The sequence below is a fragment of the Homo sapiens genome, chromosome 19, assembly GCF_000001405.40.
Source record: "Homo sapiens chromosome 19, GRCh38.p14 Primary Assembly".
NCBI classification, from domain to species: Eukaryota; Metazoa; Chordata; class Mammalia; order Primates; family Hominidae; genus Homo; species Homo sapiens.
In genome coordinates this window covers 36,126,257-36,140,007 of record NC_000019.10, presented here as the reverse complement: position 1 = coordinate 36,140,007, position 13,751 = coordinate 36,126,257, and the positions used below count along the sequence as shown (strand labels likewise).

Below are 13,751 nucleotides of genomic sequence, written 5' to 3'. Positions count from 1 at the left end.
TAGAGCCGAAGCGGACATTGCGCATGCGCACCCCACACCGCCCGGCTAGCTGGATCCAGGTCTGGGCCCCGCCCTACGCGTTTCCAGCGCCGGAGGTCTTAATCCCGCCCTGACTCGGTAGGCGGGGGTCTTCCCGACACCCCTCAGGTCTGGGTGGAGGCACCCGCGGACGAGAACTCGGAGGGGACCCACCCCCCGAGTGTCGTAGTGTGAATTTTCACCCTAGGGCATGCCAATATCCTTCCAGGGTGGCGGTTTTCGGTCCGCTCACTAAGGGACTCCGCACGGGCCCTCTGCAGGTGTTGTCGCGACAAACACCTCCTGGAGGCCTGGAGTATGGTTTGACTCACACGCTGGGGGACAGTCGCCCGTGTCTGTGGCGAGGATTGAGGCTGGATTGCCTTTCCCAGTGCCTGCAGCAGCCCGGATGGCAGTCAAACCGCAGGCAGCGCCTGCGCCGCCTCCCAGGCGAACCTTACCACGCCCCCGCCCCAGTCAGGGGCCACCAGAATCATTCCTTCCTGGACTGGCCCAAAGAGTGTCCTCAGTATGCTAGCCTCTAAAGAAGGCCCCAGACACAGGAAGATTCCTTTGGCCACGGCCTGGTTTCTTTATTTACTTAAAAAATATTATTGTTTTTACATAATAGAGACGGAGGTCTCGCTATGTTGCCCAGGCTGCTCTTGAACTCCGGGCCTCAAGCCGTCCTCCTGCCTCAGCCTCCCAAAGTACTGTGAGGTACTGGGATTACAGGTATGGGCTACCGGCCTTTTTTTGATTTAATTTAATTTTTTACAATAATATTTTTACATAGCCTGGTTTCTTTTCTTTTCTTTTCTTTTTTTTTTTTTTTGTTTTGAGACAGCGTCTTGCTCTGTTGCCCAGGCTGGGGTGCAGTGGCGCCATCTCAGCTCACTGCAGTCTCTGCCTCCCAGGTTCAAGCGATTCTCCTGCCTCAGCCTCCCGAGTAGCTGGGATTACAGGCATGCACCACCACACCCAGCTAATTTTTGTATTTTTAGTAGAGACGGGGTTTCACCATGTTGGCCAGGCTGGTCTCAAACTCCTGATCTTAGGTGATCCACCTGCCTCGGCCTGCCAAAGTGCTAGGATTACAGGCATGAGCCACGGGAGTCCAGTACTTTTTCAGGACTCATCGGGGGGAGCTAAATCTGGCCCCCAGGCAGGCTGGCTGGCTCTTATCCCCTACCCTGCAGGCTGGCTAGGCTTGAGTTGAATCCTGGCTGTGCCCTGTAATAACTGCACAACCCCAAAAGAGTGGCTTGATATTCCTGAGCAGCGATTTTCTCATCTGTAAAATGGGAACATGGGTTGCTCCATACCACTAGGCCCCCTATCAAAATTAAATGATATCTGCAGCAATACTGATTATTAAAAAAAAAACTTAAGTGGTGGCTGGGTGAAGTGGTTCATGCCTGTATTCCCTGCATTTTGGGAGGCTGAGGCAGGAGGATCTCTTGAGCCCAGGAGTTTGACTCCAGCCTGGGCAATATAGTGAGACCTTGTCTCTACAAATAATACAGAAATTAGCTGAATGTGGTGGCATGCGCCTAGTCCCAGCTACTCTAGAGACTGAGGTGGGGGGATCACCAGAGCCCAGGAGGCGGGGGTTGCAGTGAGCCGAGATCATGCCACTGCACTACAATCTGGGTGACAGAGCGAGACTCTGTCTCAAATAAATACTGGGCACAGTGGCTCATGCCAATAACCCCAGGACTTTGGGATGCTGAGGCGGGCAGATCACCTGAGGTCGGGAGTTCGAGACCAGTCTGACTAACATGGAGAAACCCTGTCTCTACTAAAAAATACAAAATTAGCCGGATGTGGTGGTGCATACCTGTAATCCCAGCTACTCGGGAGGCTGAGACAGGAGAATCGCTTGAACCCAGTAGGCAGAGGTTTCAGTGAGCCAAGATTGCACCATTGCACTCCAGCCTGGGCAACAAGAGTGAAACTCCGTCTCCAATAAATAAATAAATAAATTGGTGATAAATGCTTTGTAAATGCCCCCATTAGCTCTGTGTCTGTGCTCATGCTGTTCCCTCAGCCTCGAGGCCAGCTGTATTCCTCAGCTGGTAGACTCTTAGTCTTCCTTAAATAGTACAAAAACAGGCCAGGTGTGGTGGCTCACGCCTGTAATCCCAGCACTTTGGGAGGCCGAGGTGGGCAGATCACTGAGGTCAGGAGTTTGGGACCACCCTGACTAACATGGTGAAATCCTGTTTCTACTAAAAATACAAAAAATCAGCCAGGCGTGGTGGCGTGTGCCTGTAATCCCAGCTACTCGGGAGGCTGAGGCAGGAGAATCGCTTGAACCCGGGAGGCAGAGGTTGCAGTGACTCGAGATCGTGCCATTGCACTCTAGCTTGGGCAACAAGAGCGAAACTGTCTCAAAAAAAAAAAAAAGATACAAAAACAAGTAACCATCAACCACTCCTCCAAGTGCTTGACGTCCATCAGTTCCCTTGTTCTCCTAACAGCCCTGTGACATAGATGCTATTTATTATCCCCATTTTACAGATAAGTAAACCGACTCTGAGGTTAAACCCAAGCAGTCACTCTCCCTAGCCTGTATCCTTAACCACTACCCTTATGCGTTAATAATATAATTAATATAATAGGTCAAATAACAACATCACAACAGACAAAACTAGTTGCAGCTGATGTTTCCTGAGGCCTTGCTGGGGCCAGGCCAAGGTAACTGCTACACAAGCCTTGTCTGCAGGGCAGGAGAGAGAATGGAGATTCTGAAAGGCAGGGTCACGGAGGGTGGCAGAACCAGATCTGAACCCGGGCTTGGCACAGATCTTTTGGTGATGACTAATCCAGATTCCCTTCTCACCACACCCCTCCCTGCCAGACTGACTGCTCCAGCTCTCTGCCCTCTCCCGAGGCTCACTTGCTGCCAGCCCTCATGCCCTCGGCCAGGAACTCCCCTGCTGCCTTTTTTTTTCTGGCCTGATTGTGTAGCTACTCAGGCTGCAGGTGTCACCTCAGGAGTCATCTCTTCCAGAAAGACCTCCCTGTCTCCACCCAACCTGAGACTAGGTGAGGCTTCCAGTTATATGCTTTCAAAATGACTTGTACTTTCTCATGGCACTCACTGCCAATCGTAACCATATTGTCATCTAGTTCTGGCCCCCAACCCCTTATTCCCGGCAGCCCCAGGTGTTAGGTCTCTATCCTCCTCTCTGTACCACTCATGCCATGGGGTGCCTCCCCTACATGCACAGCTTAAATCCTGTCTCTAGGCTATCAACGCCCAGTTTTTTGTTTTGTTTTGCTTTCGAGATGGAGTCTCACTCTGTCGCCCAGGCTGGAGTGCAGTGGCGCGATCTCTGCTCGCTGCAAGCTCCGCCTCCCGGGTTCACGCCATTCTCCTGCCTCAGCCTCCAGAGTAGCTGGGACTACAGGCACCTGCCACCACGCTGGCTAATTTTTTGTATTTTTAGTAGAGACGGGGTTTCACCGTGTTAACCAGGATGTTCTCGATCTCCTGACCTTGTGATCCACCCGCCTTGGCCTCCCAAAGTGCTGGGATTACAGGCATGAGCCACAGCACCCGGCCAACGCCCAGTTTTTTGTGTTGTTCTTAGAGACAGGGGTTCTGTCACCCAGACTGGAATGCAGTGATGTGATGTAGCTCACTGCAGCCTGTAACTCCCGGCCTCAAGGAATCCTCCTCCTGCCTCAACCTCCTGAATAGCTACTGCTACAGGCACAAGCTACCACGCCCGGCAAACATCCAAATTTCCTTTATCTTTTTTCTTTTTTAATTATTTGTAGAGATGAGGTCTTACTGTGTTGCCCAGGCTGGTCTTGAACTCTGAGCTCAAGTGATCCTCCCACCTCAGCCTCCCAAAGTGCTAGGATTACAGGCGTGAGCCACTGCACCTGGCCCTAACCCTAACCCCCAAATTTCTATCTCCAGCCCAGACACCTCCTGCGAACTCCAGGCTCCTACATCCTGCATCATATTCACCATTTCCATGGGAAAGGATGGAAGATCTCAGAGGCTTTTTTTTTCCTTTTTCTTTTTCTTTTCTTTTTTTGAGACGGAGTCTTGCTCTGTCACCAGGCTGGAGTGCAGTGGCGCGATCTCGGCTCACTGCATCCTCCACCTCTGAGGTTCAAGCAGTTCTCCTGCCTCAGCCTCCCGAGTAGCTGGGACTACAGGCATGCGCAACCATGCCCAGCTAATTTTTGTATTTTTTAGTAGAGACGGGGTTTCACCATGTTGGCCAGGATGGTCCCAATCCCTTGACCTCGTGATCCACCCGCCTCAGCCTCCCAAAGTGCTGGGATTGCAGGTGTGAGCCAATGCACCTGGCCCTTAGAGGCATTTTAAGCTTTACATATCCTAAACTGAGCTTCTGACCTTCCTCCAGAACCTGCTCCCTCACTACCTTCCCCACCTAGGTCAGTGGCAGCTCTGTCCTTCCAGTGACTGAGGCCAAACACTCCGGGGTGGTCCTTCACCTCTCTCCTTCACACCCACTCCAACCTGTCAGCAGATATTATTGGCTCCACCTACAGAAACTAAACTCTTCCCCTCCACTGTCCCCACCCTGCCACAGCCTCCATCCTTTCCCACCTGGACACCCCACAGCCTGCTCCCTTCTGTCTGCTCCCTGCTGTCTGCTCCTCTTGTGGAGCCAGAGGAAGCCTGAGACCACCTGAGTCAGGTCAGGGCCCTGTAGGCTCAGAGCCCTGCCCTGGCTGCACCCCACTCCAGGAAAGAGTCAGAAGTTCTCACAACAGGGCCAGGTGCGGTGGCTCATGCCTGGAATCCCAGCACTTTGGGAGACTGAGGCAGGAGGATCGCTTGAACCTAGGAGTTTGAGACCAGCCTGGGCAACATGGCAAGACCCCATCTCTACAAAAAATACCAAAAACTAGCCAGGCATGGTGGCATGTGCCTGTAGTCCCAGCTACTCGGGAGGCTGAGGTGGGAGGATCACTTGAGCCCAGGAGGTAGAGGCTGCAGTGAGCCTTGATTGCACCACTGCACTCCAGCCTAAAGTTCTCATGACAGCCACCCCTAGTGATCTGTCCTGTCACCTCCCTGCCCTCATCTCTTCGCCCTGGAGAAAGTGAGAAGATGCCTGCCTGGCAAGGTCACCTGCATGTTCCCAGCTGAACAGAGACAAAACTCAGCATGGAGGCCCTGCAAGCACAGCAACATCCAAACAGCCTCTCTCAGGGCAGACATGAAGACATGAGGCCACCACTCCCTTACCAAGACCTTCTCCAGCCCCAGGTCTGGGAAGCAGATCTTTCATGTCTACACATCTAGTGATCACGGGAAGGTCCTGTCTTTTATCACCCGCTCACGTACTGTGTACTTTTTTTTTTGTTTTATTATTATTATTATTATTATTGAGATGGAGTTTCATTTTTGTTGCTCAGGCTGGAGGGCAATGGCACGGTCTTAGCTCACTACAACCTCCACCTCCTGGGTTCAAGCGATTCTCCTGCCTCAGCCTCCCAAGTAGCTGGGATGACAGGTGTCCACCACCACACCCGGCTAATTTGTTTGTATTTTTAGTAGAGACAAGGTTTCATCATGTTGGCCAGGCTGGTCTCGAACTCCTGACCTCAGGTGATCCACCCACCTCAGCCTCCCAAAGTGCTTAGATTACAGGCATGAGCCACCACGCCCAGCCCTGTGTACTTTACATATTGATCCAGATTTCTGTCTCCTCCGCTAGTATGTGAGCTTGCCACGGACTGGGACTTCTATTTTTTTTTTTTTTTGAGACGGAGTCTCACTCTGTTGCCTAGGCTGGAGTGCAGTGGCTCGATCTCGGCTCACTGCAACCTCCACCTCCTGGGTTCAAGCAATTCTCTGCCTCAGCCTCTCGAGTAGCTGGGATTACAGGCACCCGCCACCACGCCCAGCTAATTTTTGTATTTTTAGTAGAGATGGTGTTTCACCATCTTGGCCAAGCTTGTCTTGAACTCCTGACCTCAGGTGATCCATCCGCTTGGCCTCCCAAAGTGCTGGGATTACATGTGTGAGCCACTGCACCCGGCTGGACTGGGATTTCTATATGTCTTGTTCACTGCTATGTACTCACTCAGAGGTATGTATCCAGTTCCTAGAACAGTGGTTGGCACATCATAGGTGCCCAGTAAACATTTGTTGAATGAATGAATATGTTTTGTGTGTATTTTCTCATTGGATTTTCAGCACCAGCAGTGAGACAGTAGGGCAAGCATTACTAATGCCCTCCGCCATCTCCCAGGATCTGCTGAACTCAGGAGTTATCTGACTTACTTTGGCCAATAAAATGTAAGTAGAAGTGTTGGATGTAGAACACTTTAAATGCTCCTTGTAGAAGCATTTAAAAACCAGTGCAACCATTGCACTCCAGCCCAGTGGACAGAGCAAGACCTTGTGTTTATGGCGGGCGCAGGGGAAGGCAGTGCAGAATGCTCCATGCTCTGTTTTCTCCTGCCCGGGTCACACTAGGAGCTGAGCAAACCTGGAGGTGCCACATGAAGGAAGAGGGCCGAGCCCTGGCATCGAGCACTTCTGCTCTTGATAGTCACCCAGACCCACAGCTGACTTTGTATAAGCAAGAAATTTTTTTCTTGGCCAGGTGCAGTGGCTCACACCTGTAATTCCAGCACTTTGGGAGGCCAAGGCGGGTGGATCACTAGGTCAGGAGATGGAGACCAGCCTGGCCAATATGGTGAAACCCCGTCTCTACTAAAAATACAAAAATTAGCTGGGTGTGGTGGTGAGTGCCTGTAATCCCAGCTACTCGGGAGACTGTGGCACGAGAATCACTTGAACCCGGGAGGCAGAGGTTGCAGTGAGCCAAGATCGTACCACTGGACTCCAGCCTGGTGACAGAGCAAGACTCCATGTCAAAAAAAAAAAAAAAAAAAAGTGAGACAGGGTCTCACTTCATTACCCAGGCTGGAGGGCAGTGGCACAATTATAGCTCACTGCAACCTCAAAATCCTAGGCTCAAGGGATCCTCCCACCTTAGCCTCCAGAGTAGCTGGGACTACAGGTGTGCACCACCACACCTGAATCATTTTTTTATTTTTTGTAAGGACCAGGTCTCACTATGTTGCCCAGGCTGGTCTTGAACTCCTGGCCTCAAGTGATCCTCCCACCTCGGTGCCCCAAAAGTGCTGGGATTACAGGCGTGAGGGACCATGCCCAGCCAGTGATTGCTTTATGGCCATGGCTTGCCAAGGCCTCTCACAAGCCTCTGAGAAAGAAACCAACATGAGAGGAAGTGGATGTTCAGAGAGAGTGAGTCACTTGCCTGAGGCCACACAGTAGATGGCAGAGCATGGCTGATGCCAAGTTGTTATGTGATGACTAATCCGGGTACCTGTCCGACCTCTGCCTTCCCTTCAGCAGGTCAGCACCGCTCTGTTCCCTCTCCTCTTACCAGGCTTCCTTGCGGCCAGACTCTTGTATGGGCTGTGACCCTGCAGGACCTCCTCTCCTATTGTTTTTCTTTGGAGTCAATTCCCTGATAAAAATTATTTGCTTGGGCCGGGCGAGGTGGCTCAACACCTGTAATCCCAGCACTTTGGGAGGCTGAGGTGGGTGGATCTCTTGAGGTCAGGAGTTCGAGACCAGCCTGGCCAACATGGCAAAACCCCATCTCTACTAAAAATACACACACCCACACACAAACCGGGTGTGGTGGCAGGCACCTGTAATTCCAGCTACTCCACAGGCTGAGGGAAGAGAATCGCTTGAACCCAGGAGGTGGAGGTTGCAGTGAGCCGAACAAAACAAACAGAAAAAAACAAAACAAAAAAGAAATTCTTGCATGGCCAAACTAGTCAAGTCTCTGAATCTTCTGCTAGGCTCATCTGTGTACTCCCTTGTCAAATCCAGTTTTAGCAAAGAACCCTGCTAAGTCAGTTTATCGAGAACCCTCTCCCATCTTCAACATCTGATTAGGTTCCTCATCCTCCACCAGCCCCTATGTGATGTCTGATCACCTGGGCCTGTCTTCAGCAAGAATCCTGTTAGGCTGGTTTAGCCAGAATCCCCCCTTACCCCTGATGTTTCCTCTTAGTAACTTTCAATCCACTGCGCCCCACCCGATCCTGGGCTATGAATTCCCACTTCCCCATGCAGTATTTGGAGTTGAGCCCAACCTGTCTCCCTCACTGCAAGGCCCTGCCACTGTGGCCCCTCTCTCTATCGTAATGGCTCTGAATAAAGCCTTCCTTTCCTGTGCCTTATTCTATTTTTAATTTTTTTAATTTTTTGAGATGGAGTCTCGTTCTGTTGCCTAGGCTGGAGTGCAGTGGCGTGATCTTGGCTCACTGCAACCTCTGCCTCTCGAGTTCAAGAGATTCTCATGCTTCAGCCTCTCCAGTGGCTAGGATTACAGGTGTGGGCCACCACGCCCAGCTAATTTTTGTGTTTTTAGTAGAGACGGGGTTTCACCATTTTGGCCAGGCTGGTCTTGAACTCCTGACCTCATGTGATCTGCCTGCCTCAGCCACCCAAAGTGCTGGGATTACAGGCGGAAGCCACCGTGCCCAGCCCTTCCTGTGCTTTAACAACTGTTGTTGAATAATTTTTTTTCCTTTTTTTTTTTTTTTTGAGACAGGGTCATGCTCTGTCACCCAGCCAGACTGGAGTGCAGTGGTGCAATCACAGCTCACTGCAGCTCAACTTCTCAGGCTCAAGCGATTCTCATGCCTCAGCCTCCCGAGTAATGGCTAATTTTTTGATTATTTGTAAAGATGGGGTTTTCCTGTGTTGTCCAGGCTGGTCTCAAACTCCTAGGCTCAAGCGATGCCCCTGCCTCAGCCTCTTAAGTAGCTAGGACTACAGGTGTGCATTACTAAGCACAGCTCACAAAATGTATTTTAAAATAAAAAATTCAGGCCAAGCACAGTGGCACACACGTTATCTCAGTGCTTTGGGAGGCTGAGAGGGGAGGATTTCTTGAGCCCAGGAATAGAGACCACTCTAGGCAACATAATGAGACCTCATCTGTACAAAAATAAGTTTTTTAATTAGCTGGGCATGGTGGCACACACCTGCAGTCCTAGCTACTCAGGAGGTTCAGGCTGGAAGATAGCTTGAGCCCAGAAATTCGAGGCTGCAGTGAGATATGATATATGATCACACCATGACACTCCAGCCTGGATGACAGAGCAAGACCCTGTTTCTGAAAACAAACAAAAAACCCAGAAAGTAATGCCCAAGAGGATCCTTTTATACAGGTTATCATGGACTAGCATATTAATGAAAATTCCTGCAACAAAGCAGCTAATTTAACTTAGTTCAAGGCAGCAAATTCCACATTTCTTTTGTCAAGGAACTCCTTTTTTTTTTTTTTTTTTTTTGAGAGGGGTCTCTCGCTCTGTAGGCTGGAGTGCATTGCTGTGATCTCAGCTCACTGCAACATCTACCTCCCAAGTTCAAGCGATTCTCCTGCCTCAGCCTCCTGAGTAGCTGGGATTACAGGTGCCCGCCACTATGCCAGGCTAATTTTTGTATTTTTAGTAAAACAGGGTTTCACTATATTGGCCAGGCTGGTCTTGAACTCCTGACCTTGTGATCCACTGCCTTGGCCTCCCAAAGTGGTGGGATTACAGGCATGAGCCACCTTAACTGGCCTCAAGGAACTCTTTTATCTTTAGGTATTTCATTCATGTCCCCTGGAATCTTGTCAAATGCTGGCTGAAATTTTCTTGTAAAATTTTGTGGCATGGCGGCTTATGCCTATAATCCCAGCACTTTGGGAGGCTGAAGTGGGAGAATCACTTGAGCTCAGGAGTTTGAGACCAGTTTGGGCAACATAGCAAGACTCCATCTCTACAAAAAAGTGTTTTGAAAAAATTAGCCAGGCATAGTGGTGTGCCCGTGCTCCTAGCTACTTGGGAGGCTGGGGTGGGAGGATCGCTGGAGCCCAGGAGTTTGAGGTTGCAATGAGACGAAATTGTGCCCCATACTCCAGCCTGGATGACAGAGAGACCCTGTCTCAAAAATAAAAAATAAAAATAAACATCTTTCCTGATTTGACAGGCAAAAGGTGGTGTCTCAATATTTTATGTAACATTCTTCAAATATGAATGGGGGTGAACTTGGCTTTCATGGTTTTTTGGCTATTGGTGTTTCTTTTATGTATTGTCTTTTCAAATATTTGCCCAGTTTCCTTATTGGCTTTTCATGTTAATTTCACATTACTTTATTAAAATCTTTATTCTTGGCCGTGCGCAGTGGCTCACACCTGGAATCCCAGCACTTTGGGAGACTGAGGTGGGAGGATTGCTTGAGCCCAGGAGCCTGAGGCTGCAGTGAGCCGAGATTGTGCCACTGCACTCCAGCCTGAGCAACATGGCGAAACCCCACCTCTACAAATAATACAGAAATTAGCTGGGTGTGGTGGCATGTGCCTGTAGTCTCAGCTATTCATGGGGCCTACTGAGGTGGGAGGAGCACTTGAGCCCGGGAAGTTGAGGCTACAGTGAGCTCAGATCACACCGCCGGGATCACACACAGGCTGGATAACAGAGCAAGACGCTGTCTAAAAAACAAACAAAAAAATCAGCTCTTTTTTTTTGAAATGGAGTTTCGCTTTTGTTGCCCAGGCTGGAGTGCAATGGTGTGATCTTGGCTTGCCACAACCTCCGCCTCCTGGGTTCAAGCGATTCTCCTATCTCAGCCTCCCAAGTAGCTGGGATTATAGGTATGGGCCACCATGCCCGCCTAATTTTGTATTTTTAGTAGTTTCTCCATGTTGGTCAGGCTGGTCTTGAACTCCCAACCTCAGGTGATTCGCCTGCCTCGGCCTCCCAAAGTGCTGGGATTACAGGTGTGAGCCACCCTGCCTGGCCTGCAGCATTCTTTCCTTCATTTTTTTTTTTTTTTTTTTTTTTTGAGATGGAGTCTCATTCTGTCACCCAAGCTGGAATGCAGTGGCATGATGTCAGCTCACTGCAACCTCCACCTCCTGGGTTCAAGCAATTCTCCTGCCTCAGCCTCCCAAGTAGCTGGGACTACAGGCACATGCTGGCATGCCCAGTTAGTTTTTTGTATTTTAGTAGAGATGGGGTTTCACTGTATTGCCCAGGTTGGTCTCGAACTCCTGAGCTCAGGCAATCCACCTGCCTCGGCCTCCCAAAGTGCTGGGATTACAGGCGTGAGTGCCCGGCAGCATTCTTTCTAGTAAAACTTTTCTTTTTCAAGCCTACGCTGTCCTCAGTAAATTCTTCTTACTGTTAGAAATAAGTTCTTGGTGCCACAGAGAGAGACCAGCACTCGGAGAAAAGTTTCTTAGCAAGGCAAAGTTTACTTCTGCAGAAGCGTGCTGCCCAGACCTGTACCAAAAGCACACCTAATAAAGGAGAGCAGGGGTTTTTAACCCCCGTTGGCTAGGGTTGGACCTCACAATCTAAGCTGATTCCGATTGCCTATTTCTAATAGAGGCGGGGTATGGGTTGCAGCGGCGGGGAGGGGCAGTTTCCCCGGTAAGGGCAGTTTCTGCAGGAAGGACAGTTCATAGAGCAAAGGACAAGGAAGTTAGATTTTTGAAGAGGAACTCATTCTGTCTAACATTACCAACACTTTCGCTCCCGGGGCTCTGACATCTCGCCCGGCAAAAGAGATTTCTTTTCTTTTTTTAGATGGAAACGCCTCGTGCTTGAACAGGCTTGGGAGCGGACCAGGAGCCCGGGGAAAGGGACAAGTAGAGATGCAGGAAAGCAGGAGGACAGGAAGGAGGCCCAGCCGGCTCCAGCCACTAAGGGAGCTCGCTCGCCTCACTTCCACTGCGGCCAGAAAGTCAGCTTCGGCGCCTCCCCCGGGACGCTGGTTCCCCGCCTCAGATTAAGCTCGGCTGTCTGTACCGGATGCCCGCGCCTGCGCTGCACCGCCCTTCGCGGAGCGCGGAGCCAAATGCCTACATCCCACAATCCCCCGCAACGCCGGCAGGGGCGAGACCTCAGCTTCCAGCTCTGGGCAAGACCAGGCTCAGATTGTCGCGTAGTTTTCTGGGAAATGCCGTTTGCGTTCCAGGATGCTTATGCCACCTTTGAGACTACGCGACCCATAATGCACCAGGGGCGCAGCGTCTGAACGGTGCGCTGCCGCCCCCTCGTGGCAGATGGGCGGTCATTGCCGAGGCTAGGCACGCAAAGGTTGCGGGATCTGGGAGGCGAGCCCAAGTCCTGGGAACCCCTGGGAATTCCCTCCCAACCCCAAACTTTGGGCAGGAAAGGTGGAGTGTTGACGGGAAACGGTGAAAGACTTGCGGACAGGGCCTGCTGTGAGGATTAAAGGAAACCAGCCCAGTAACTGTTGGCTGTATAATCCTTAATAATGTGACACGCCACGTGCTGGTGTCACGGCATGGAGTCTCGCTGTGTCACCCAGGCTGGAGTGCAGTGGTGTGAACACAGCTCACTGCAGCTTCTACCTCCCAAGGCTCAAGTGATCCTACCACCTAGCCTTCCAAGTAGCTGGGACTACAGGTGCGTGCCACCACACCCGGCTAATTTTTGTTGTTGTTGTATTTTTTGTAGAGACAGGGTTTTTGCCATGTTGCCCAGGCTGGTCTTGAACTCCTGAACTCAAGTGGTCTGCCCTCCTCGGCCTCCCGGAGTGCTGGGATTATGGGCATAAGCCACCATGCCTGGCTTTTTTTCTTTTTTTTGAGACGGAGTCTCACTCTTGTCCCCAGGCTGGAGTGAAGTGGCACGATCTCAGCTCACTGCAATCTCCACCTCCTGGGTTCAAGCCATTCTCCTGCCTCAGCCTCCTGAGTAGCTGGGATTACAGGCACGCGCCACCACACCCAGCTAATTTTTGTATTTTTAGTAGAGTCAGGGTTTCACCATGTTGGCCAGGATGATCTCGATCTCCCGCCTCGGCCTCCCAAAATGCTGGGATTACAGGCGTGGGCCACCGTGCTTGGCCTCTTTTCTTTTTTTTTGGTTTTGAGACAGGGTCTTGCTCTGTCATCCAGGCTGGAATGCAGTGGTGCCATAACTCGCTGTAGCCTTGACCTTCTGGGCTTAAGTGATTCTCCCACCTCAGCCTCCCAAGTAGCTGGGGCTACAGGCATGCGCCACCATACCTGACTCATTTTTTGCATTTTTGTAGAGATGAAGTTTTACCATGTTGTCCAGGCTGATCTCAAACTCCTGGGCTTAAGCGACCTGCCAGCTCGGCCTCCCAAAGTGCTGGGATTACAGGCATGAGCCACTGTGCCTGGCTGAGTTGTACATCTTTTTTTTTTTTTTTTTTTTTTTTTTTTGAGACGGAGTCTCGCTCTGTTGCCCAGGCTGGAGTACAGTGGCGTGATCTCAGCTCACTGCAAGCTCTGCCTCCCGGGTTCACGCCATTCTCCTGCCTCAGCCTCCTGAGTAGCTGGGACTACAGGCGCCCGCCACCATGCTTGGCTAATTTTTTTATTTTTATTTTTTGTAGAGATGGGGTTTCACCATGTTAGCCAGGATGGTCTCGATCTCCTGACCTCATGATCCGCCTGCCTCGGCCTCCCAAAGTGCTGGGATTATAGGTGTGAGCCACCACATCCAGCCAGAGTTGTACATCTTTTTTTTTGAGACAGTCTCGCTCTGTCGCCCAGGCTGGAGTGCAGTGGCATGATCTTGGCTCACTGCAAGCTCCGCCTCCCAGGTTCTCGCCATTCTCCTGCCTCAGCCTCCCCAGCAGCTGGGACTACAGCACCCACCACCATGCCCGGCTAATTTTTTTGTATTTTTAG

At 51.0% G+C, this 13,751-nt stretch overlaps 1 long non-coding RNA gene across 1 annotated transcript, besides 1 other annotated feature; it reads left to right on the top strand.

The window, feature by feature from the left end:
- Positions 1-25: 25 nt before the first annotated feature.
- On the top strand, positions 26-12,059 carry LOC105372385 (uncharacterized). Its single transcript, XR_935954.3, has 3 exons — positions 26-117; positions 6,215-6,316; positions 11,650-12,059. It is a non-coding gene; the product is annotated as an uncharacterized LOC105372385 (long non-coding RNA).
- Positions 11,528-11,757: an enhancer, noted in NCBI's record as "active region_14517". NCBI's record gives its function as "activates an Ori minimal core promoter by ATAC-STARR-seq in GM12878 lymphoblastoid cells {active_cell/tissue: GM12878}" and the evidence as "EXISTENCE:reporter gene assay evidence [ECO:0000049][PMID:35858748]".
- Positions 12,060-13,751: the final 1,692 nt, after the last annotated feature.